Here is a 21,747-nt window from a genome sequence, read left to right on the forward strand (position 1 = left end):
GCCCTGAGGGGAGACAGGCCCCGTGAGAGCCTGGATGCCAGCCGCGGAGAGACCAGAGACAGGCAGGAGCCAGCCTGGCCGGGACAGGGTGGGCGTCAAAGGTTGGGGAGCAGATGGTTGGTTCAAGGGCTGGTGTGGGGGTGGAGTGTGGACCTAGCCCGGAGTTCCTGCTCTTGTGCCCGGGAGCCCATCCTCTGCTCACCCTGCTCTCTGCCCTACGCTTGGCTTCCTGCCAAGTCCAACCAAGGAGAGATGGTGCTGCTGGGGTGGGCGAAGGGGCCAGCCTCCTGCCTGGGCTCCTGCTGGCATGGGCGTCCCCCTGTGGCTCCAGCGCCTGCATGCAGACCCTCCCCTGCACCCCCGCGCCAGCCTCACCTGGGCAGGCTGGTCTGGTTCCAGTTTCTGCTGGTGGCCCGGCCTGGCTCTGCTGCTGTCCCCTCTCCCACTGTCCTCCCGCGGTGGCCGCTGTCTGGGCCTCACTTCCTTCTCCCGCAGTGGCTGCTGTCTGGGCTGCCTCACTGCCTTCTCTGCTTTTTCAGGGCTTCCCTCACCTTCATAACCAGCTCCCCAAGTCCAATCCCGAGCGGGGAGGGTCTTGCTTTCCCATGATGAAGGGAGAGGGTGGATGGAGGCAGGTCAGAGGCACGGGCTGGGGCTGGAGCATGCGGGGCCTCAGAAGCCATGGTGGGGGAATGGGGGTTTGAGTCTGAGACTCAGGCGCTATGGAGGGGGTGAGCCATGAGGGACGAGGCTCCAGTGTACAGCGGAACCCAAGCCAGGAGGGACATGGTAGAGGATGGGGCTGGTGCTGTGGGGAGACCAGGGAAGCCCAGGAGGCTGAAGAGATCAAGGCAGAGGCTCTAGAAATCCATCAGAAAGAGGATTGGGACAGATGGCCAGTGGTGAGAAGCCAGCAGGACTCGGAGGTGGGTGCTCCAAGGGAGAGGGAAGGGCCTGGGTCAGGGCCTTTCTCAGATCATGGCCGTGTGAGGGCCACCATCCCTCTTCCCTCTGCAGTCACCTCCGCCACCGCCCCTGTGTGTTTCCATCACAGCCTCATCAACACGACACTGGCAGCCTTAGGTATTTATTCACGTTTACACATCCACGTCTTTGTTCATCACCCGCTTCCCCACTGCAATGAGACTTCCGTGCATGGTGCACAGTAGGTGCTGAATACATGCTTGCTGCTGTAGCAGGGGCCATCACGGGTCAGCCCCAGCCCTGCCTCTCGCCAGCTGCATGGTGGTGGGCAGTCATTTACTGCGGCTGCCTCAGTGTCCTCATCTGTAAAGGGAAACCATGCTGTCCACTCACAGGCTTGCTCTGAGGAGTCGATGCCTTCAAGCAGCAGGTGCCTCGTTTCTGTCATTTCCAACCACTCTTCTGTGATTCTCCATGATGCCTAGAGTTTGCCAGATCCTCTGTCGGGCCCCGGGGATTCAGAATTAAACAAGACAGTCGACCTGTCTTCATGGAACTTACCGTCAGAGCTCACATCACTCTGGTCTAGAAGGCTGTCTCCTGTCCTGTCTGTCAGGTTCCTGCCCAAGCATTGAGGCCTGTGTGAAGCCCTCTCCCTCCTAACGCCCACTCAGTATTTCTCTCCCCCTCCTTCAGATCACCCTCCCTCCCTTCCAGTTTCCTAAGGCTGTGTGCAGGTCGTGGTGGAGTCAACATTTAACACAGGTTGCAGGGTTAAGTAATACAATGACAAATCCATGGCTGAATGTGTGTTACAACTAGAAAGTCCCTGTAGTAAAGAGAAGGCAGTGAGCCACTATCAGGATCACCTAGATTGTCACCTTCTGCCTCAGTCCACTCTGTGGACTTGAAAGCTGTGTTGAAGCAGTGAGGTTTGCAGACCCTGACGTGTGCATGCCATTTCTTCTTGATCCCTCCTGAAGTCGGCCTCATTATTCAGACCATTGTGTGGAAGAAGAATGTATAACGTTACATGCAGAAGCCATGGAGACTCCAGTTTATGGGAGATCTCAGGAGTTTTCAAAGGTCATTTTGATCATCTATCATTTTTACCTATGGGCTCACCTTATAACTCAAGCACCATGTACCATGTGACCCTCCAATATGTCTGGCCTTATGTTTCTTACAATCATTTCAAGGCTGCCTGGTCAGGCTATTAGCTCAGTTCAAGGGAAGAGCCATATGTCTTTCTTTTTAGTACTCCCCATTGTGCCTGGCATGATGCTGGCTTTGGGTGGGTTTGATAAAAGTACATGATAAAGAGACTTGATTGATGGTGGGGTTGGTTCATGGTGGGGTTGGTTGATGGTGAGGTTTGCTGGTGGTAAGTTTGGTTGAAGATAGGGTTGGTTGACAGTAGGTTGGTTGAGGGTAGGATTGGCTGAAGATAAAGTTGGTTGATGATGGGTTGGTTGATGATGGGTTTGATTGATAATCAGGTTGATTGATAGGTTGGTTTATGATGCATTTGGTTAATGGGTTGGTTAATGGTTAGGTTAGTTGGTAGTGGGTTGGTTGAAGGTGAGTTTATGATGAGTTTGGTTGATGATGCGTCAGTTGATGGTAGAGTTGGTTGATAGTGGATTACTTGAAGGTAAGGTTGGTTGATGGTGGGTTTGGCTGATGGTGGAATTGGCTGGTAGATTGGTTGATGATGGGTTGGTTGATGGCAAGGTTGGTTCATGGTCGGTTTGGTTGATGTTCAGGTTGGTTGATGGTGAAGTTGGTTGATGATGGGTTGGTTGTTGGTAAGGTCAGTTGATGGTGGAGTTGGTTGATGATGGGTTGGTTGATGTTAAGGTTGGTTGATGGTGGAGTTGGTTTATAGTCAGATTAGCTGATGATGCATTGTTTGAACGTAAGGTTGGTTGATGGTAGGCTTGGTTAATGGTAAGGTTGATTGATGATGGGTTGGTTGATGGTGGGTTGATTGATAATGGGTTGGTTGATGGCATGGTTGGTTGGCGATAAGGTTGATCGATAATATGGTTGGAAGGCTTAAGGCATAAGTGGGTAGGTGTGGGTCTGGGGCTAGGGCTAGACTCCCATTTGTCAGAAACTCCCAGTAGAATGGGTGGCCAAGAACGGAGATTAAGATGTTTTAGAGAGTTGGCTGACCAACTGCAGCCCAGTGTGCAGCGAACTCTCATGTCAGCCCACTGGAACCTCACTGCATTTGCAAATAGATGAGCTAAAGCTTTATTTTCTCAATTTAAAAGATATTAATCAGTGATGTAGATTTAGGAAATCTGTCTGTTGAATCAGTGGCAGAGTCAGATGGGTAGATGTGAGGGCTCTTTCTCCCCTGACGCCTTCAGCAAATACCTCTGGTTACCATTGTTCCCAGTACTGCTCACTGCTGTTCTTAGAGCTGCGAGATGAGGTAGGAAAAGCTTCCCTAATGCATCCTCAGGGCTTCCCGTGTCCCTGGGGGAGAGACGATGCCCCATGAAATGCAGCTATGGTGTCCGAGAGTGATATGCATCCCTCTGGTGGGACATGAGATGACTTGGGTAGAGCAGAGATGATCAGGGGTGGGGAGGAGCCAGGGCTTTGTGGGGTGGAGACCTGTGTGGGGTGCATCTCTTGGGGGGCTTCCCAGGGCAGTGGGCCAGGCAGGCTTTTGGACACCACTGCTTTCTTTCCTTTACTAGCAGTGTTTCCACTGATTTTTCTTCTTTTCTTTCTTTTATTTTTTTTCTTTTTCTTTCTTTCTTTTTTTTTTTTTTTTTTTTTTTTTTTGAGATGGAGTCTGGCTCTGTCGCCCAGGCTGGAGTGCAAGTGGCACGATTTCGGCTCACTGCAACCTTCACCTCCCGGGTTCAAGTGATTCTCCTGCCTCAGCCTCCTGAGTAGCTGGGATTACAGGTGTGGGCCATCATGTCTGGCTAATTTTTGTATTTTTAGGAGAGACGGGATTTCACCATGTTGGCCAGACTGGTCTCAAACTCCTCGCCTCAGGTGATCTGCCCGCCTCGGCCTCCCAGAGTGATTACAGGCGTGAGCCACTGTGTCTGGCCTCCATTGGTTTTTAACTGAATTCAGTTTGGTAACTGCTGAAGAGCTGGACGTTCGTTTCCAAGAACCATTCCCTCTGCTGAGGCCCAAAACTCTTGTAACTGACCCTTACTTCCATCTCTAGGCAGAGATCAGTGTGAGAGACAAGACTTTTCAGTTGTCTTAGAAAGATTGCATATCCAGTATAATGTCAGTGTGTCCTGTATTTGGTTTTATTCTTAGTTTCTGAAACATCTCACTTCCTCTAAAACAGCACTTCTTAAACCACATCTCTATTGCTGTCATTGGGTCTCTTCCCTTCCTCCTCCAAAGAGTTTAAGAGATGCCAAGTTGAACATAGCTGAACAGGGGGGTTTATTTTACCTGCAGAATCCTCAGAACTCTTAAGTGGCTTTATATTCATCCAAAAAGTCTTTTAAGGGGTGCAGAGAATGGAGCTTTTTCCAAACTTATCTGAAAGCAGAAACATCATTTCATGGACAATTTGCTAATAATGTCATGCGGAAACTGGAGTGTCACACACTTAGCGTGGGGAATGTGGCCTAGAAACTGAGTTCCCTTCACCCACCGCGGCTATGCGATTAATGGGAGTAGCTCTTGGCCCGTCGGTCTGCAGGTGGAGATGTTTGTTTCCATTGCCGAGAATGCTGCGGTGGGAATGCACTGGCAGCACCCGCCTGTTGAGGAACTTGTTTTGCCAAACATACTCGGCAGGTGACTGATGAGTGCCTACCCCTCCCACAAGGCCCCTTCTGCTGGCAGAAGATGCCTGTGACCTCAGCTCCCACCTGGTGGAGCAGAGATGGGCAGCACTGGGCAGCCTCGGGCCCCCGGGAGGCCCCTGTTCGCCCACAGCGTCCCAGGTGCCCTGGGTGTTGCCAGGCAGCGATAGGGAGTGGGCTCTGGGCAGAGTCGGTGTGAGTTCACCAAAGTCTCCACCTTGAGTTCCTCAAGCCCAGTGCAGGAGAGCCCATGAGGGTCAGGGGAAGCCAAGATGGAGGCACACACCCAGGGGACATCGTGGCACCTGCTGCAGGGAAGCCCACGGGCATGGCTGTGATTCCCAGGGGTCAGAGGTCAACAGCCTGAAGGTCTTCTCAAATATGGGAGGCCAGGCCCAGGAGTTGAAGGAAAAAGGTTTATCCATGGGAGAAGGAGTAGTGGGGCTCTCCTACCCCTAACTGCATGATTCTGCAATAACCAGAAACAAGAACAAGAAACCGCAGCCATTCTCCTGAGGGGACGGGGGCCCCATTTCTTCAAAGTTCCCTCTCATCCTCAGGGATACTGATGGGCTCCCCTGTGACTGCCCCTCCTCTCTCCCTGGGGCATCATGAACCTGGAAGGGGGATTCTTCCGTCTCCCTGGCCCTGGCCACGCAGTGCCCACCTTTCCCGTGATAGCCACAACGTCCGTGGAGAGGGAAGTCCAGCCCCTGGGAAATTGGAAGTTGTGCGCAGGTCCTTGCCTGCTGAGGCCTGAGCCGGCGTTCAGCACAGGTGGCTCTGCCCAGCCCTCAGCCTCTCTGCCTTGTCCCTGAGCCGGAGAGCACAAAAGGGCCCCTCCAGGGGAAATGCTGCTGGTGTCATGGCAACAGCTGTTTCACTCCTGAAGGGGGCCAGGCCAAGGCCCTGCCTTCTGCAAGCACTGGTTCTCAGAGAAGATACCAGGGCCTGCAGGGTGAAAATGAGCTCCTGCTAAAATGGGAGGCACAGGCTGTGGCGTCCAGGCTGCCCCTACCCCAGCCCCACGCACCCAGGAATCTAGCACGTCTGTAGCCCCTCGGGCGTGAGCCCACTCCGCTGTGAATCACAGTTGAAGGCGGTGCTTGCTGAGTGTTCGGGCTTCCCATGGCCCCCTGGCCCCAGGTTGCTCCCCGTGGTCCAGTGCACTACCTGCCTCACCCTGAGCTGGGGCCCCCTGGGCCTGCGGCATCTCCTCCCTCATTGCCAACAGCTCCTTACACACTCAGAGTGGCCTCCTTTTGTTCCTTTGTCCTGGTGATCGGGGAGAAGGCATTTAGACTCCCCCTACCCGCATGCCACAGGAGGAAGCTGGAGGCAGGCGTCTCGGAGGACGGGGGGACGTGGGTCTGGGGTCTGGGGCCTCAGTGCCGGACAGGGACAGCATGATGCAGGCTTCAGGCTTCAGCTGGGCCTCTGACAAGAGCCATGGGCCACAGGAGGAAGCACGTGGCGCCCTCCTGCACGTGAGCAGCTGGGAGGCTGCCCTTCCAGGCCTGTGGCTTAGGAGCCCGGAGCCTCCTGGAGCGCAGGGTCACATGTGTCTGAGCTTGAGGCCCCGACTTCAGAACCGAGGGGGCGCCGTCTGGATTGTGCGGTCGGTGAACTGCGGCTTCGGTTCTATCCTTTGTGGCCCTGCAGCCGCTTAATCCCCAGGTGTGTTCTGTTCTGCCTCATTCCCACAAGGTGTTGGGACCCAGCAGACACGGGTGCTGGCGATCACCACCGTGTCCATTTAGAGAGCTTTCCTGAGGCCCACAGTGTGCAGGCGGCAGCCATTGTGCGGGGACTGGGAGGGTTGTGGCCTCAGGCGGGGGCGGTAGCCAGCTCTTCCCTAGCACTACTTTGTGCGGGGACTGGGAGGGTCGTGGCCTCAGGCCGGGGCGGTAACCAGCTCTTCCCTAGCTGCTCCAGCACTTTATGTTTGTAAATTCATGGAGTCCTTGCGGCCACTGTGGGAATGGAGAGGGGTCATTATTTTCATTTCACAGCCGAGTGTCACATGGCCCAGATTGTCAGCCAGGACGTGGCCCAGCTGGGACTTGAACCCGGGAGGTCTGGCTCTGGGGCTGACTGTTAGTCTGCAGCCCTGTGTATTGCAGTGTAGACAGGAGGCTCAGCGCCTGCCCGGGCCAGGCAGCCACAGTCTGGAGACTGTGGCTGAGGGAGCCTCAGTGTTCTGTAGGGCACCTCGGGGCACCGGACATGCACGCACAGAACCAGGGCTGCAACCCCAGCACCGGCCTCTGTCGGTGGCAGCAACAGACATTTGGGCTGGGAGGCAGGCTTGGTGGTCAGCACCACACTCACAGGGGACCAGCTGTGCACCCACCTGGGCCCTCTGCAGCTTCAGGCTCCGATGGGGTGCCTGGGCCTGCTGCTGACGCCTCTGCTCTGCTCCCCGCAGCTTGCACGCGGACACCAGGTGGCGCTGTCGTCTATCAGCTATGTGGGCTGCTCCCTCTCCGTGCTCTGCCTGGTGGCCACGCTGGTCACCTTCGCCGTGCTGTCGTGAGTCCCCTTTTCTAATCCACCCAACAGTCTCTCGGCCCCTGCCTGCACCCAGATCTCAAGATGGAAGAGACACGGGAGAGGGGAGGGGCTGTGGAGGTAAGAGCACCAGGCTTAGCTGGAAAGGTCTGGAAAGGCCCCCAGCCCAGGCACAGGAATTCTGGTGGAACCCGAGCCAGGCAAAAGGGGATGGCCATGGGCCTGGGGACACCTCAGCCCTGTGCTCAGATATTCACTCTCGCTCCCACGTTCCTCAGCACAGGCGTGTGGTCGGCTTTGAGGGCCCGACTGTGCCCAAGAGAGATGAGAACATGCTTGGATGGGGGCTGGACAATAACCAAGTAAACAAAAGCGAGAACAAACATCTTCACTGTGATCACGCCACGAGGCAGCAGGGCAGAGAGCGAGGGGTGCAGCTAGGTCCCAGCAGTGGTCAGGAAGCTTACGCTGAGGGAGACATTTGGGCCGCCATGCGGGGACCTGGGAGAGGGTTTACTGCATGGGAACAGCTATGCAAAGGCCCCACAGCTGGAATAAGCTGGGGCTTTGAGAAGCAGGAACATGAGCTGGGAAAGAAAGGAACTCAGAGCAGAGCCATGGCCCAGGGTCAGACTGTGTAGGGCTGTGTGGGCATGGAAGGAGCTGGGGTCAGATCCAAGAGCAATAGGGAGCCATCGATGGTCCACAGCAGGGAGTGACAGCAACCCCTCTGGCTGCTCTTGGAGGAATGGATATAGGGACTTCGTGGGGCCAGGGAGCCCAGCCTGGGGGACTGGGTCGGCGCAGGGCCCAGGCCTCACACCCTGCCTCTGTCCTCAGCTCCGTGAGCACCATCCGGAACCAGCGCTACCACATCCACGCCAACCTGTCCTTCGCCGTGCTGGTGGCCCAGGTCCTGCTGCTCATTAGTTTCCGCCTCGAGCCGGGCACGGTGAGTGGGCGCAGCTCCGTGTTCCTGCGCTGTCCTTCCCTTGCCTCCTCGGATGTCACCGGGTGGCACCTTCTGCTAGCTTTTTCAACTCAAATTTCAGAACCCATCTCCCCAGACAACCAGGGCTGTGGTTTTCTCGGGGGAAGCAGAGATCGTGACGTGCATGAGCTGGTTTCTGTGCTGCACGCCAGCCTCGGGTAAAGCTGCCGCTGCCGCCACCCACTCACACTGCCTAGCACCAGCTACGCGCGAGGCACCATGACAAGGGCTTGCATCTGTGAAGCCATGTCACCCTCTAACCAGCTGTCATCCTCTCAGCCTACAGATAAAGGAATTGGGGCACAGGGCTCACAGTCCTTGGCCAAGCTGACGGCCTGGTGTGGGCAGACCAAGACTCTTATTGGCTGCAGGCTGTGCCCTTCATCAGCTGCTTGACAGCAAACAGTTGTGCCACCTCTGTTCAGCGAAGCAGACCTGCAGACCTAGATGCCATCTTTCCCTGCCCTTTGCATGGAGTGGGGGGTTCTCTGGGGCCCTAAGAAGTCTTAGACCTCACAGAAGGCAAAGAGCTGAGACTCTCTGAAGTGACCCAGCAGTGGAATGATGTGGGCTTGTAAGCTAGTTGATGGAAGAGAAAAACAGAGGGCTGCCTGCTCCATGTGTGGGAGGAAAAAGGGAGCTGGTTCTGGCAGAAGCTCTTAGGAACCCAGCAGGATAAGCCTGTGGTCTTAGGGTGCAATCAGGATTGGCCAACAGAAGATGAACGCTTTATCCCATGCCTAGCGGGTCAGCAGAGCCTCTCCTCCTCACTGCCCAGCAGAGCCCTTTGTCCCCATGCATGTCCTGGGGCTGCTGCCTATGGACAGACCCACCTTCATGTGGCAGCAAGCACCTCCCTCACAGGGCACCCCACCTCAGACTCGGGAGCATCTGAGAAGTTCCTGGATGCACCGTGGAATGGATGGGGTGTGCACTGGCCTCATGTTCTCCTGCTGGACGCTTCTCAGGCTCCGGTGTGAAACCTCCCATGAGGATTCCTTACAGTGCAGATTTTGGTTTAGGAGCTCTGGGTGGAGCTCAGAATGCTGTATTTCTATCAATCATTCAGGTGATGCTGACGCTGCCTGTTCAAGTCCATACTGGGGAGCAAGGTCCCACTGTGTGCTGGCAGCAGGAGGGGAGGCAGGTCTGCAGCAGCTCCAGGTGTCTATAATCCCAGCTGGTGGCCCTAGGGGACTGGGAGAGCATCTTTCCTCCAGAACCCTGTGTCTCAATCCCAGGGAAGGGCTCTGATGGGTCCCGCTTTCCCAGAGACCTGTGTCTGAATCCCAGGGAAGGGCTCTGATGGGTCCCGCTCTCCCAGAGACCTGTGTCTGAATCCCAGGGAAGGGCTCTGATGGGTCCTGCTTTCCCAGAGACCTGTGTCTGAATCCCAGCGAAGGGCTCTGATGGGTCCCGCTCTCCCAGAGACCTGTGGCTAAATCCCAGGGAAGGGCTCTGATGGGTCCCGCTCTCCCAGAGACCCGTGTCTAAATCGCAGGGAAGGGCTCTGATGGGTCCTGCTCTCCCAGAGACCCGTGTCTAAATCCCAGGGAAGGGCTCTGATGGGTCCCGCTCTCCCAGAGACCCGTGTCTGAATCCCAGGGAAGGGCTCTGATGGGTCCCGCTCTCCCAGAGACCTGGGTCAGAATCCCAGGGAAGGGCTCCAGTTGGTCCTGTTTGAGTGATATGCCTACAGGGTAAACCTTTGTGCCCAGATGGGAGAGGATGATTGTAATGGTTGGTCCCACCAGAGCCTCTGGGGTAGGAAGGGGCTGCTCCCCAAGGAAAAGGGGCAGCTGGTCCTGGAAGACACAGGGCCAGGGGTTGCTGAGCCAACAAAAATAATAGGTATGTCTTATTTTGTATCTAGATATAACAGATCATGATGACAAGAAACACATTTAGTGGCTTGTACATTTCTTCTCTGAGAACTAACTGCCTTGGGCGTATCTGAAGGACAGAACTTGGAGCGCCAGCAGAGCTGGGTTGTCCTGGGGTCCTTGGTTTGTGTTCCTTCCTGGGCTCTGGTTTCCTGGACCTTTTATCTAGAGCTAAGGGACACGCCCTGGCTGTTCCCAGCACCTGGACTCACAGGGAGCAGAGGAGTGGAGCCCCAGGAGGATCTGAGGCTGCACTGTGCAGGGCCCAACTCTCTCCGTCCTGGGCACCTGGGGCCTCCAGGCCCCAGGCAAGGAATGGAGAGGTTCCCAAGGCCCTGCCTTTCTGTCCCTGAGCCCTATTGAGGGGAAGCCTATGGAGCAGCATGGTCGCCTGAGCCCCTTTCAGTTCTGGGTAACTACAACTTGGAAGCTGCAGTCAATTTAGTTAGAACTAGAAGTCCCAGCATGTAGGGTTCAGCCACATGGCAGGCGGCAGGCTCCACACCTCTCTGGGAGCCACGTGGCTTCCAAAGTTCCTTGCTCCAGTCCTCACTTGAAGGGAGGGAAACTCTTCCATAGTCCCTGCCTTAGCCCCAGAATCCACCCTGATTGGACCAGGTGAGTCATGTGCCCATCCCTGAGCCAATCCTGTTGCAAGGAATGGATAGTTTTGCTGATTGGTTGGGCCTGAGTCCTGTGCCCTCTCCTGAACCAATCACCATCCCTGGGGGCAACATGGTGCTGTAATTGGCTAGCCCTGAGTCAAGCGCTACACCCAAATCCCTGGGCTTGAGCAACAGGAAGATACCCTGGGAAGAAACATGGTCACATGACCAAAAGACCACCCAGGACATGGATACTGGGAGGCTGGGATCATAGCCACGCCCAGGGCCCACCCCAGAGCTGTCTCACTTCCCATCTCTGGTTAAATCCTAGACCCCCTGCCAAGTGATGGCCGTGCTCCTACACTACTTCTTCCTGAGTGCCTTCGCATGGATGCTGGTGGAGGGGCTGCACCTCTACAGCATGGTGATCAAGGTCTTTGGGTCGGAGGACAGCAAGCACCGTTACTACTATGGGATGGGATGGGGTAGGTGGGGCAGGGCAGGTGGGATGGCGGGGCGGGAGGGACAGGAAGAGACAGGTGGGGATGGGGCAGGTAGGACAGGATGAGACAGGTGGAAGTGGGGACAGAAGGGGCAGGTGGGGATGGGGGGAGGTGGGAATGGGGTTTGATCGGATGGGACAGGGAAAGTCAGATGTGCTTTCATCTTCATATTATCCTTCTTGGTGCCTCCTAGAGACCCAAATAGGAAGGAGAATCCACTGGCTAATCAAAGGCAAAAAGTCCCCATCACTTGGAAACATTTCCAACATTCCTGACTTGGTTTATCAATTTTGGTGATCTTTTCAAAGAACCAACTTTTGGTTTGATTTTCTTTTTTGTTTTTCTATTATCCGTTTCTTTAATTTCTGCTTCAATCTTCATTATTTCCTTTCTTTTGCTTATTTTAGCTTTAGTTTCTTCTTCTTTTCCAGTGTGTCGAAGTGAAAGTTGAGGTTACTGAGTTGAGATTTTCTTTTTTAATATAGGCATGTATAGTTATATATTTCCCTCTACTCACTGCTTTAGCTGCATCCTGTATGTTTTGTGTCTTCATTTTAAATTCATCTCAAAGTATTTTCAAATTTATTTAATTTTTATTTGACCCATTGATTATTTATGTTGTTTAATTTGTACATATTCATGAGTTTCTCACTTTTTTCTATTATTGATGTCTAATTTTATTTCATTGTGGAAAGACAACATATTTTGTATGACTTCAGTCCTTTTAACTGTATTAGGGTTTGTTTTATGCCTTAGTAAGTATCTATCCTGGAAAGTGTTCCATATGCCCTTGAGAAGAATGTATATTCTGCTGTTGGATGGAGTGGTCTACAGATACCTGTTAGGCCTAAGTTGGTTTATAGTGTTGTTCAAGTCTTCTATTTCATCGCTGATCCTTTTTCTAGTTGTTCTGTCCATTACTGAAGTATTGAAGTCACCACTTGTTGTATTGTGTATTTCTCCCTTCAATTTGTTGATGTTGTTTCCTGTTGCTTGGGGTTCTGTTTATACTTACATCTTTCTGATGAGTTGACCCTTTTACATTTATAAAACATCTCTTCATCTCTAGTATTATGTTTTGTTTTAAAGTCTGTTCGTCCCATATGATTAGTAGACTCGCTCCAGCTTTCTTGCAGTTGCTGTTTGCAGAGCATATATATTTTCCATCCTTTTACTTTCCACTTATTTGTATCTTTGAACCTAAGGTATATCTCCTGTAAACAGAATACAACTGGATTTTTAAAAAATTGTCTGGCAATTTCTGCCTTTTGGCTGGGTCATTTAATCCTTTCCCATGTAATGTTATGACACATAGGGTGGATTCACATCAACAATTTTTCTCTTTGTTTTCTATATGTCTACTATCTGTTTTGTTTCTCTATTCTTCCTTTACTTCTTTCTTTTGAATTAAGTGAATATTTCCTAGTGTAACACTTTAATTCTCTTAATGATTTTTTTCACTTTTTTTTTTTGGTTATTTTCTTAGCGATTGACCTAATGCTTACTATATACATCTTAGCATATTAGAATCTATTCCAAATTTATACTAAATTATAAGATATAAACATTATTTTTATATAGGCATATTCTCTTTTCCTTTGTTCTCTGATTATTGCTATACATGTTACATCTGTATAAGGCACAATTCAATAATACATTTTTGTAACTATTTCTTTAATCTTGTATCTTTTAAAGAAGCTGGGATAAAAGGAGAGCAAGTACATATTTATAGAGTTACATTAACCTTCTGATTTCCATTTCTGGTTCTCTGTATTTTTTCCTGTGAATTTGAGTTTCCATCTGGTGGTGTTGCTTGCTATGTGTATGTATGTTTCTGTGTGTGTTAAGATTACTTTTTGGGGTCATTTGCTTTCAGCCTGGAGAACTTTCTTTGTTATTTCTTGTAAGGCATGTCTGCTAGCAACAGATTCATTTGTTGTTTATCTGGAAATCCCTTTATTTCACCTTCATTTTTAAAAAGTAGTTTTTCTAGATATAAGATTCTTTTTTGCTTTTCGTTCTTTGATTATGTCATCTCACTGCCTTCTGGCTCGATTGTTTCTCATAATAAGTCAAAACTTAATCTTACTGGGGTCCCTTGTATTTGAAGAATTGTTTTTCTGTTGATTCTTTGAGGACTTTCTCTTTGTCTTTCAGCATTTTAACTCTGATGTGTCTGGGTGTGTATCTCATTGTGTTTACTTTTTTTTTTTCTTTTTGAGACAGGGTTTCAATCACCCAGGCTGGAGTGCAGTGGCACCATCTCGGCTCACTGCAACCTCCACCTCCCAGCCTCAAGTGATGCTTCCACCTCACCCTCTTGAGTAGCTGGGACCACAGGTACAGGCCACCATGCCTGGCTAATTTTTGTATTTTTGTAGAGACAGAGTTTCTCCATGTTGTCCAGGCTGGTCCTGAACTTTTGGGCACAAGCAGTCCGCCCACTTCAGCCTCCCAAAGGGCTGGGATTACAGGCGTGAGCCACCATGCCTGGCCCACTTTTTGGTGTTTATTGAGCTTCTTAGATGTGTAGATTAATTCTCTTTATCAAATTTGGGAACATTTCAGCCATTATTTATTGAAATACTTTTTATGTTCCTTTCTCTATCTCCTGTCTTTCTAATATTCCCATTATGAGTAGGTTGGTGTGCTTAATGGTGTTCCACATTTAGAGTACACTTACAGTACAGCTTCTAAGACTCTTGATTTTTCTTCATTGTTTTTTTTTTCTTTGTTCTTCAAATTGCGTAATCTTTCTTTATCTCTCTTCAAGTTCACTGATTCTTCTGCCACTTTGGATCTATTTTGGAACCCCTCTAGTGGATTTTTAAAATTTCAGTTATTATACTTTTCGACTCCAGAATTTTCATTTGGCTCTTTTTTTAGAATTTTGATCTCTTTGTTGCTATTCTGTGTTTGATGAGACAGGGTCGTTATGCATTCCTTTACTTTTTCAATGACAGTTTCATTTAGTTCTTTGAACATATTTATAGTGATTGTTTTGAAGTCTCTTTTTTTTTGATAAATACGACAACTGAGCCTTCTCACAGGCAGTTTCCATTGCCTGGATTTTTCCCCATGTGTGTGTCACACTTTCTGGTTTCTTTGTATATCTCATAGTTTTTTGTTGAAGACTTGTCATCTTAGATGACACATTGTAGCCACCCTTGATTCTGATTCCCTCCTTCCATGGCTTCTCCTTGCTTGCTTATTTATTTGTTTAGTAACTTGGCTGGACTATTTAGCACAGTCTGTTTCTCCTGTGGTGTGATTCCTCTGACATCACTCCCCAGAGGGCAGTCTTAGGCATGTACAGTCACCCTGGGATGGCAGTGGTTTTAGCAGGGCTCTCTCTGTCTCTTTCCATGGCCTCTCTCTCAAGCTCTCTACTTATGTTTGTATGACACCATCTGTTAGGTTCCACTCATTGCCAGCCTATGGCTCTGTTGTTCCCAACAATAGCTTGGGGCACATGATGCTCTACAGCTTGATCTGATTAAATCCAGGCCCCTTCGTAGGGGTATTTTTGAGGCCAGTCTTTGAGGTTTGTTCTGACCCCAGGAAGGCTCTTCTGAGCTGTCTCTTCCCTGGCTGTCTCCAGTAAACCAGCCGGAATATGGTTTATCTTGGTGTTGTCGCGGAGCCACCAGCTTCCTCTTCGTTCCCTGCTGCAAAGCTCCGTTCTTTCCCAGACTACCTTAGGCTTGAACTTCTCCACTCTGCTTTAAATCAGTTCCCATGGGGAGCACTTTGGAGTTCTCTAACCTAATGGGTAGCTTCTTTTCCTGGGAAGAATTCCTGAGGCACTGCTCTGGAGCTGCAGGCAAGGACAGTGGCCCACTTTTTGTGGAGTGACATGTCTGCCTCTCATGCAGGGCACTGGGTGGGGGAAATCGCTTCGAATCTTCAGAGCTTGTCTCTCCCAGTGTAGAACCTCTGCCCAATGAGTCAACAGAGATGAGGGCAGTGAGGCCCCAGTGTTCTGAGCCTGCCACACCCTGCATACTATGAGTTGGAGGAGGAAGGGAGTCCCAACCTTTCAGCTGCTTTTATCTGGAGTAGAGCTTCTAAAGCACAAAGTTGGGGGGAATGAGAAATGCGGGCAGCCTTCCCCACCTCCCCCAGCCTGGGGAGATACCGTAGCCCTGGACTGGGAGCTGGAGGGAGTGGAGCCCTGTCTTCTTGCCCACACCTACTTGGAGCAGAGCCTCTCTCACACCAAGCTGGGCAGGGAAGCAGGTTTTGGCTGAAGTGCCACAGACTCAGTCTTCTTAACAAGATTTAGTAGATTTTCTTGAGCCAGTTTTTCTCAATTTGCTGTAAACCCTTAGGAAAATGTACAGAGACTTTAAATGATTATGTTTTTTAAAACTTTTTTTTTTCAGTGATAGCTGTCTCTGGGGAGGGGTCTGCTGAGCGACTTGTGCTGTCATTCTAGAAGTCAGCTCCCCAGTGATGTGGCTTCTTTGCTGAGCTTTGCCCTTGCCCATCCCAAGGGGTCCCAGTGAGCACTGGAGGCTCTAGGTTGGGCTGTGCATTGACACTTAGCATTCTCGCAGTTGTTGTAAAACACTGACCAGACATGAGGGACCTGCTACTTGTTTCAAATACGTTTAATTTTCACAGTCTTTGTTATGCAAGTAGCAGGTAAACAGGCTTACTTTGTGCTTTGAGTTGGCAAATGTAATTTATCTGAGGATTAAGTGGAGGTAAATTGTGCTCCCCTCGTGGCTCCCTGGGGAGACTGAAGAGGCCACTTGGGCAGCCACCTCCAGACTGCGGCTGGTCATGCAGGGAGCTCCCCGAGTCACCACGGACGTCCTCCGTCCTGCCTCACTGCTCATGCTGTATCATCACGAGGATGCTTTTGCACACGCTGGTCCTGAGGCCCGTGTCCTCTGCCCTCCCTCCAGGTCACGCATGACCTGCTTCTTCAGGCCTCTGTGACGCCCCAGAGAGGAGAGCTGCTCCTTCTGATGATATCTGACCTCATCAGGGAGGATTTAGAGGCTGACTGATGGCCAACTATCTAGAGTTTATTATAGTTTCTTTATGGATACAGTCATGTAATTTAGAGGCATACGTGCATGTGTGCACGCACACACACGCACACACACTCACACTCTCCATAAGCCACAGAAAAGACAGCTGGGTGAACGAAAAGTGTCTGCAGGATTTGTTGCTAGAGTGAGAGCAATGTATGTAGCGGGGCTGTCTGTGTCGCCGATAGGATGGGGTTGGGGTGTGTGTGTTTGACAGACAGAGAATCTAAGCCAAACCAATCCAGCCTGGAAGGATGTTTTATTTGATCTGCACAATGCTGGAGGGAAAAAATGAATTATTTGCCAATATTTTAAGATTGAGGGATTTTACACAAGATTACAAAGTTCTTTTGAAAAATGAGGAGATCCGACGCCCTGAGTTTATATTCCTCCTTGACAACAGTGGCCAGAACTGTGTGGTTTCTGATACCAATGCAGCCCCAGTAGGAGACTGAGCTTGTAGTCCCTGACACAGCTCTTGCAAATGGAGCGCTGGCTGGTTCTGTGAGTCCTGCAACCTCCATCTATCTCCCTGTCAGCTTTCCCTTAATTAATTTCATCAGGAGCCCAAGAACTGTGTCTTTCATTCCAAATGGATTGGAGCTGGCTACAAGCTGAAGTCGGGGGGGTCTGCAGGCAGTTGGGCTCTCTCGACCTTCAGTTTTTAATTAAGGAGCTGGAGGCCCACCCAGAGCATGGTGGGGGGAGCCCCTGGGAGGTGGCTTCTTCCTGCAGATTTCATCCTGGCCTTACTCTAGTTTTTGAGCAATATTATTTTTTGGAAACTGAGGTGGGGTGGGGGGGCATCAAATCCACACCTTACCTTAAGGTGTTGTTGACTGCGAGACTTGTGCTAGGAACTCTGAAGGGAGGGACAGATAACCTCTGTCCTCAAGGAGCCCACAAGGTAGCCAGGAGGGCAGAGTGACAAGCATTGGAGAGTTTACACATCACTGAAGCAGACAAGAAACTCTGATTGCAAACTCAGAGGTGAAGAGAATGTAACTCGTTTTATTTTTCTTTATTGCAACTTAGTTTCTTTTGTGAGCTCCTGTTCCTCTAGGGACAAAACTTAATCTTAGTTCCAGGCCCCCCCTTTCTCTGAAGCTGCACTTTCATTCCAGAGAGATTGCGTAATGCCATGATCACAGGAGGGGGATCCGTCAGGGTAGGCGGGCAAGGCTGCAATAACAAACAGCTTCCATCCCTCTTTGGTTTTAAAGAACAAACGTCATTTTCCTATGCACGCTACATGTCCATGGTGGCCCGTGGTGGTGGACAGTGAAGAGCCCAGGCTGACGGAGAAGGCACCGCCTCGAGCTATGTGAGGGAAGGGGTCAGAGAGGACACTGCACTGGAAATCATGTGCTCAGCCCATAAGACACATGTCCCTTCTGTACACAACTCAGTGCCCAGAACCAGCCCCGTGGCCTCAAGAGCCCCGAGGGGCAGGGGTGTGGACCTCCCCTGTGCCCGCGTGTGGGGCATCTGGAAATAGGTGGCACCAGTGACTTCCACAGTTCCCTGGTATTGTCTCCCTCCACCCCATCTGTCGAGACCCCTTGCCCATGCGCCCATCCTCCCAGGCCTTCGCTTCACCCACCTCGGTTAATCTCTCATAACCCATGCTCCTCACCTGCCCCTCAATCTTAGGGGGCAGATGCCAAGGACAGCACCGGTCTGGTCCCTCTGAAGGTCACCGTGTTGCAAAGAGGAGCACCCAAAGTAAATGTCTCTGATGACAGGGCCAGAGGGACTTCACATTGTCCGCAGAAGCATGTTCCAGGTCTGCCCAGGTTACCGTGTGAGAGTTTCAGATGACAGCAGTGGTGGGAAAGGGGTGAGGTCTGAGCTGGTTGATGATACAGATTATTGCAAGATCAGCTTCATCATCGAGGGGCTCATCATTCATAGACAGCTCATGTCATCCTCACAGCCTAGTGAGGAAGGCAACTCATTACGTTCCCATGGTCTGAGCACAGAATTTCGGCTGGTTCCTTGTAGATGCACAGCTGGTCCCGGGCAGCCCCAGGAATAGAACGAGGTGTCTTCTGGCCCCAAAGCCCACGCTCTTCCCACTCACTGTCTTCTCCATCTTACTGCCCCTCTCCTTATCCTCCCACTTAGGAATGTTTTCTTCTTAAAAAGCCCCACAAACGCACTCACCCAGACTTCATAGCTCCTGCAGCTCATTTTGGAGAAAGCAGACAGTGGGCCCCACCCTGTTCTCAGACCCTTTGTCCTTACCCATGGCTTGGCCTCTGCTGGACACAGGGGTAGATGCAGGGGAAGAAATGGCAGAGGAGCTCACATAGGGAAACTCAAAGTGACAGGATGACAAAGGCCCACAGTCACTGCTGGGCCCCAACTGTGCGCCTCTTCCACAGAGGCTGCCTGGTCTCCTTCTGGACAACTTTATTGCCCAGACATTCTGCAATGCATTTAAGTCCTTTTGACATTTAAAACCAAGTATTTCAGAGACAAGACTGTCCAGGAAATGTCTTTCCAGGGTAATTAACTTGAAACCCAAACCCTGATGTTTGGAAGGGCAGGCACGGCGTGTACTCTGCCCCCAGAGGGCACTGGAGGGCTGCGGCCTGGAGGCGGTCGGGTGGGTGCCAGGAGCCACCTTCCCTCCTCCTCCTTCCTCTGGAGCAGAAATCTCCCAGAACCTGTGTGACTTCAGCTACGGAGGCAGAGAGCCACATGCTCTTCGTGCACTTCCATCCCCCACCCTGCTATCCCAGGGATCCGAGATGTGCCAGGAGCTGTGTCTCTTGAGCATCCTCCTGGGGAAAAGGTTCAGGTGTGGAGTAAGGAGCTGGTCCTTTGCAGTCTCTCATCTCTCTCCCATCCTTCCCTGCAGAGGGAGCAGAGGACAGAGGCTGCTGTGCTCAGGGTGGCTGCACTAGAGCAGGCCCCGTGGATGATGCCCCACTTTCTGAATAACGAGAAGTGTGTTCTTTTCAGAAACAGATTCCCATTCGTGCAGGATCTGTTTCAAAGCTCACACGTGCGTGTGGAAGCAGAGCCATGTTTCCAGACAAATTCCGTGGATGGCTGAGCTTGAGGAGTGTTGCAATGCGATCTTCCTTTTGGAGAGTCATAAGACACATTAGCATACAAAACCTCTGCACTTTAAAAGTGAAAGTAGAGGCCAGTTCAGATTTGGGTTAGGTCAATTCCTACAAGTAGTGTGGCCATAGAGTGTTTTCGTTGCAGAATGATGAAGCTCTGGGGACTGCTGTGATCCAGATGCTTTCTACCTCATTCGTGGGCCTCCCTTCTATCACCACCCCCAAAGTCTCACTTGGCTTTGTCAAATATTAAACACATTTAATTTGTCACACTCAGTTTCAAGTAATAGAAATCCAACTTGAACTGGCTAAGGCAAAAAGGGAATGTGATGGCTCATATAACAAAAAAGTTCTAAGATGCTGGACTTCAGATATGGCTTGATCCATGAGCTTAAGTAATATAATCAAGATTTTGTTTTCTTTTTCCGTCTCTCAGATCTGATCTCTTGTGGTGCCAAAATGGCTGCCTGGACCCCAAGCTCACTGACATCCTTATCCTCTTAGGGGCTCCGTAGAAAAGAGAGTTTCTTCTCAGCAGTTTCGAAGAAAGCCCTTGATTGAGTCTCATTGGGCCAGCCAGGGTCACATGCCCATCTTTGAACCAATAGCTGTGGCTGGGGGATTTGATGTTCCAGTCAGCCAGTCCTGGGTCACATGCCTCAGAGCCAGGAAGGAACCAGCCCACCTGGACCTCATGGAAAGATGGAGTGTGATAGGTTCCCTAAGGAAATTATGGGCTCAAATACTGTAAGAATGTGGACTGTGTGCATGGCAAAGTCAGCCATGTCCGATGTCCCCTCAGTCCCAGCTGATCTCACACCTTTCCACCGCCGCTCTAGAACAGGGCTTCTCAACCAACACTATGGATACTTGGGCTGGGTGACTCTTGTGGGGCAGTCTTGTGCATTGTAGGGTGTTTAACAGAAGCCCTGGCCTCTGCCTGCCTGATTCCATCCCGTTATGACAACCCTAGATGACTTAAGCCATTGCCAGTTGTCTCTTGTGGGGCCACCTTGGCCCTGGTTGAGAACCACAGGTCTAGATAGACCAAGCTGAGCTTACCTTCCTGCCAGTCACAATGCCACATCTCACCCACATGGTTTGTTTTGATGAAGACTCATACACTTTGTTGTCTAGTACAGAAGTGTGAACATGTGAGTATGAGTGTGTGTGTGTTATTCCTTTGTTTAGACTAAAAGTTCTTTGAGGATAGGGGCTGTTCTGTGTCCCAACAATTAGCACATAGTTCCCCCTCTGTATACATGTATGAGGTGTACAAGGAATGAAGAAAGGAAGGGAGGGATGGGGGAGGCGGGAGGGAGGGAAGAAAACTGGAGCAAGTGAACATGATATTCTCCAATCTTCTGCAGGTTTTCCTCTTCTGATCTGCATCATTTCACTGTCATTTGCCATGGACAGTTACGGAACAAGCAACAAGTAAGTGCAGGGCTTTGCCTTGCTTTTGGCAGGCGTTCCATGGAACAGCTTGTGGCGAGAGCCCCGTGGCTCTTGCCTTCCTGTGCTCTTCTGGGTGCAGGGGTGCTGTGCAAAGCTGGCTCCCACAGGCCCAGCCGGTGAGAAAGTCGTGGTCCAGGGAGAGGGAGAAACAACCCAGCTGTGCTCTGGACATTTTGGGGCCTCGGAACTAGCAACAAAGACCACAGAGCGCCTCCAGGAATAGCAGGGGGCCTGCTAGGAGTTTCTGCTTGGAAATGTTTCACCCACGTGGTCTTCTCAGACACAGTTCTGGTCATCCACGGAGGCTGAATTGTGGCCCTTTCACCCTTTCTTGGGGTGGCCAGCAAGCGCACTGTGCAGACCGTGTGCCCAGTAACTCACAGGGAGCAGACACATGCATGTTGGAGTAAGTGGGGCCTGCTGTGCACCAGGCAGGTGGTCTTGAGGGTCCCATTGCTTGGGTAGTAGGGGATGGACCTTATGATGTCCAGTATCTCCTGTTGCCACTTGAAATGCAGCTCATGGGTCCACAGTTGTGTCAGGAAGAGGATGGGATGGTGCTGAGGGACCAGATCAGCTGTTCACGTTCCAGAAAGATGATTTTCTTTCCTTACAAGTAAAAGAGCTTTCACTCAAATGTTTCTTGGAAGCTGCTACCTGTCCTAGCCACGCTGAGAAACCACTGAGTGAAAACATGGAAAATAAATATTGACGGTGCTTACAAACAGAAAGGAAGTTGAGCATTTTCACAGCTTCAGAATGAGATAATAGTACAGACGAATAGTGAAACTGGGAGAAATCCAGCCTTTTCCACGTTGGTGCAGGTTCCCTGAAGGCGAAGCATTTGTAGAAGGCAGTGTCTGAGCGCACAGTGAAACAAGCATGGTTACGCAGACCACTGTTCTGGCCTTCCTTTCATTCTGGATGCTGTTAGAAGTTGAGGGACTAATTAG

General features: G+C 51.0%; 1 protein-coding gene across 14 annotated transcripts in view, besides 1 other annotated feature; it reads left to right on the forward strand.

The window, feature by feature from the left end:
* Window positions 1-21,747, forward strand: part of ADGRD1 (adhesion G protein-coupled receptor D1) — a 187,563-nt gene that overhangs the window by 143,772 nt on the left and 22,044 nt on the right. For 11 of the 14 annotated variants that reach the window (NM_001330497.2, XM_011538204.2, XM_011538205.2 and 8 more), the window contains 4 exons: window positions 7,153-7,256; window positions 8,076-8,187; window positions 11,046-11,199; window positions 20,707-20,773. The exons of 1 other annotated variant lie outside the window; for it this stretch is intronic. In NM_001330497.2, the coding sequence (NP_001317426.1) occupies window positions 7,153-7,256; window positions 8,076-8,187; window positions 11,046-11,199; window positions 20,707-20,773 (437 nt within the window). The remainder of the gene's footprint in view (window positions 1-7,152; window positions 7,257-8,075; window positions 8,188-11,045; window positions 11,200-20,706; window positions 20,774-21,747) is intronic. 2 more of the 14 variants (XM_011538206.2, XM_047428718.1) reach the window with 1 other exon arrangement.
* Window positions 7,357-7,426: an enhancer, noted in NCBI's record as "active region_7357". NCBI's record gives its function as "activates an Ori minimal core promoter by ATAC-STARR-seq in GM12878 lymphoblastoid cells {active_cell/tissue: GM12878}" and the evidence as "EXISTENCE:reporter gene assay evidence [ECO:0000049][PMID:35858748]".

This window comes from Homo sapiens, chromosome 12 (assembly GCF_000001405.40).
Source record: "Homo sapiens chromosome 12, GRCh38.p14 Primary Assembly".
NCBI lineage: Eukaryota > Metazoa > Chordata > Mammalia > Primates > Hominidae > Homo > Homo sapiens.